General features: G+C 44.1%; 1 annotated feature.

The window, feature by feature from the left end:
• Positions 2,246-2,540: an enhancer, noted in NCBI's record as "tiled region #1920; HepG2 Activating non-DNase unmatched - State 24:Quies, and K562 Activating non-DNase unmatched - State 24:Quies". NCBI's record gives its function as "activates a minimal TATA promoter and a strong SV40 promoter by Sharpr-MPRA in HepG2 and K562 cells {active_cell/tissue: HepG2 | K562}" and the evidence as "EXISTENCE:reporter gene assay evidence [ECO:0000049][PMID:27701403]".

Below are 3,323 nucleotides of genomic sequence, written 5' to 3'. Positions count from 1 at the left end.
CATACATAATCTCCAGTATCCCTTCACATATGTCATATTACCCCTGAATAAAAATGTTTTTAATATCAAAACGATGTGCTTCCTATGCAAATGCCGCCTCAAAATGAGTGCCCTAAAATACGTTAACAAACATATTGTTTGTATTGTGAAAGAAAGATAAATCTTGGGACACCGAAATCTCTAAGCTAAAGGGAAAAATCAAGCTGGAAACTGCTTAGGGCAAATCTGCCTCTCGTTCTATTAAGTCATCCCTGTGCTCACTGAGATAAATGTGTATCTTATTGCTTCTTTTTGGAAGGCTAATCAGAAACTCAAAATAAGGCAATCTTTTGTCTCTTATCTACCTATGACCTGGAAGTCCCCTCTTCACTTCGAGTTGTCTCACCTTTCCACACTAAACCAAGGTACATCTTACATATATTAATTGATGTCTCATGTCTCCCTAAAATGTATAAAACCAAGCTGCGTCCTGACCACATTGGGTACATGTCATCAGGAACTCCTGAGGATGTGTCATGGGCACATCCTTAACCTTGGCAAAATAAACTGTCTAAATTGACAGAAAACTGTCTCAGATATTAGGGATTTACATTTTGACAACCATGAGTGGATTCTGAGTGGAGGTGACCCTGACCTTTGAGAAATCTCATATTGGTGCTTGGTACCAGCTTGAGCTGTCTTTATGGCTCAAACCAATAGGACAGTTTGCTGAGGCCTGTAATCACCTCCTCCAAAGAATCCCTGACCTCCCCAAATTTGGTTGATATCTAAGGTTTATTTTGATGTACAACTCATTTTTTTTTTTTTTTTTTGGATTTTTACTTGCCTCTGACAAGGAAGGCAAATTTTTCTTCTACCATGATGATGGAAGACACATAACTGCTTTATGGAGTTTGAGCTTGCTTCCAACAGGGAAGGTAAGTTTGAGTTTTTTTCCCTGCTTCTAGGATGGTAGAGAGCAGTCTTCAGCCTGAGACCCATCCCTAGGTAAGTAGCTGAACTGAGGTTTTGTCTTGGCTAAAGATGAACAACCAACTGGTCTTAACTTCTCCTTATCATTAGAGTACTCAGTAGTCACATTGTTGGGTTTTTCTGTTTGTTGTTTGTTCCAGTCTTTTTCCTGTCAGATTTGACCAACTCTACCTGACTTTGTCAAATCTGAATGAGAATTCCAAATTATGGGTAACAAGGCCTCTCTGAATTGGCTAAAATTCCTCACAGCTGCAAAAGAGGGAAAAACAACAACAACAAAAACCCCACACATAAAAAAATGTGCTTTGTTTCTGTGTTTGCTACCTGTCTTAAAAAACAAATGTTCTTTTGTTTACTTTTCCACTGCCCTATACCTCCTTCCCCCTTCACCATCTTCAGTAGCAAGAAAAATCTAGAGAAGGCTTCTAATGACTCGAACTCCTAAAAGAACTCAGGAAAAAGGAGCCACTCACCCCTTTTGAGACATTCTGTTTTCTTTGTGGAGTTTCAAGAGTCATGGGTAGATTGTTCCAAGATCTAAAGCTCTGCTCCTCTGTATTGCATTACTTGACCTCTTTGGTTTCAGGCGTACCAGAGATTACCTTATACTGTGAGAGGATTTGACCTTGGTGTGTGTAATGGTGGACGAGAGCTACAAAGTTAGGGGTGGCTGAGGACAGTTTACAGGAAGTGGTCTTGGCTGTTTTTTTGTCGTTATTGTTTTCTCCTAGAAAGTTATTGTTTAGAATCCTAATGCTCCTTCAGAGGTGCATTCTAAAGAGTCTTCTCCATTGAATTTTCCTCCTGAAATTAATCTCAATTGGCTTGTCTGCACATTTGTGTGAGGAAATAACTGTTGTTTTCATAGACAAATGAGAGACTGAGGGCCGAATAGGAACAGCTCATGTCTACAGCTCCCAGCATGAGTGACGCAGAAGACAGGGGATTTCTGCATTTCCATCTGAGGTACTGGGTTCATCTCACTTGGGAGTGCCAGACAGTGGGCACAGGTCAGTGGGTGGACGCACCATGCGCGAGCCAAAGCAGGGCGAGGCAGTGCCTCACTTGGGAAGCTCAAGGGGTCAGGGAGTTCCCTTTCCGAGTCAAAGAAAGGGGTGACGGACAGCACCTGGAAAATCGGGTCACTCCCACCCGAATACTGCGCTTTTCCGACCGGCTTCAAACACGGCGCACCACGAGATTATATCCCACACCTGGCTCGGAGGGTCCAACGCCCATGGAGTCTCGCTGATTGCTAGCACAGCAGTCTGAGATCAAACTGCAAGGTGGCAGCGAGGCTGGGGGAGGGGCACCTGCCATTGCCCAGGCTTGCTTAGGTAAACAAAGCAGCAGGGAAGCTCCAGCTGGGTGGAGCCCACCACAGCTCAAGGAGGCCTGCCTGCCTCTGTAGGCTCCACCTCTGGGGGCAGGGCACAGACAAACAAAAAGACAGCAGTAACCTCTGCAGACTTAAATGTCCCTGTCTGACAGCTTTGAAGAGAGCAGTGGTTCTCCCAGCACGCAGCTGGAGATCTGAGAACGGGCAGACTGCCTCCTCAAGTGGGTCCCTGATCCCCGAGCAGCCTAACTGGGAGGCACCCCCCAGCAGGGGCACACTGACACCTCACATGGCAGGGCACTCCAACAGACCTGCAGCTGAGGGTCCTGTCTGTTAGAAGGAAAACTAACAAATAGAAAGGACATCCACACCAAAAACCCATCTCTACACCACCATCATCAAAGACCAAAAGGAGATAAAACCACAAAGATGGGGAAAAAACAGAACAGAAAAACTGGAAACTCTAAAAAGCAGAGCGCCTCTCCTCCTCGAAAAGAACACAGTTCCTCACCAGCAACAGAACAAAGCTGGATGGAGAATGACTTTGACGAGCTGAGAGAAGAAGGCTTCAGATGATCAAATTACTCTGAGCTACGGGAGGACATTCAAACCAAAGGCAAAGAAGTGGAAAACTTTGAAAAAAATTTAGAAGAATGTATAACTAGAATAACCAATACAGAGAAGTGCTTAAAGGAGCTGATGGAGCTGAAAACCAAGGCTTGAGAACTACATGAAGTATGCAGAAGCCTCAGGAGCCGATGTGATCAAATGGAAGAAAGAGTATCAGCAATGGAAGATGAAATGAATGAAATGAAGTGAGAAGGGAAGTTTAGAGAAAAAAGAATAAAAAGAAATAAGCAAAGCCTCCAAGAAATATGGGACTATGTGAAAAGACCAAATCTACGTCTGATTGGTGTACCTGAAAGTGATGGGGAGAATGGAACCAAGTTGGAAAACACTCTGCAGGATATTATCCAGGAGAACGTCCCCAATCTAGCAAGGCAGGCAAACG

This window comes from Homo sapiens, chromosome X (assembly GCF_000001405.40).
Source record: "Homo sapiens chromosome X, GRCh38.p14 Primary Assembly".
NCBI lineage: Eukaryota > Metazoa > Chordata > Mammalia > Primates > Hominidae > Homo > Homo sapiens.
The sequence above is the reverse complement of the archived record's forward strand: the minus strand, read 5'-3'. Positions and strand labels throughout refer to the sequence as shown.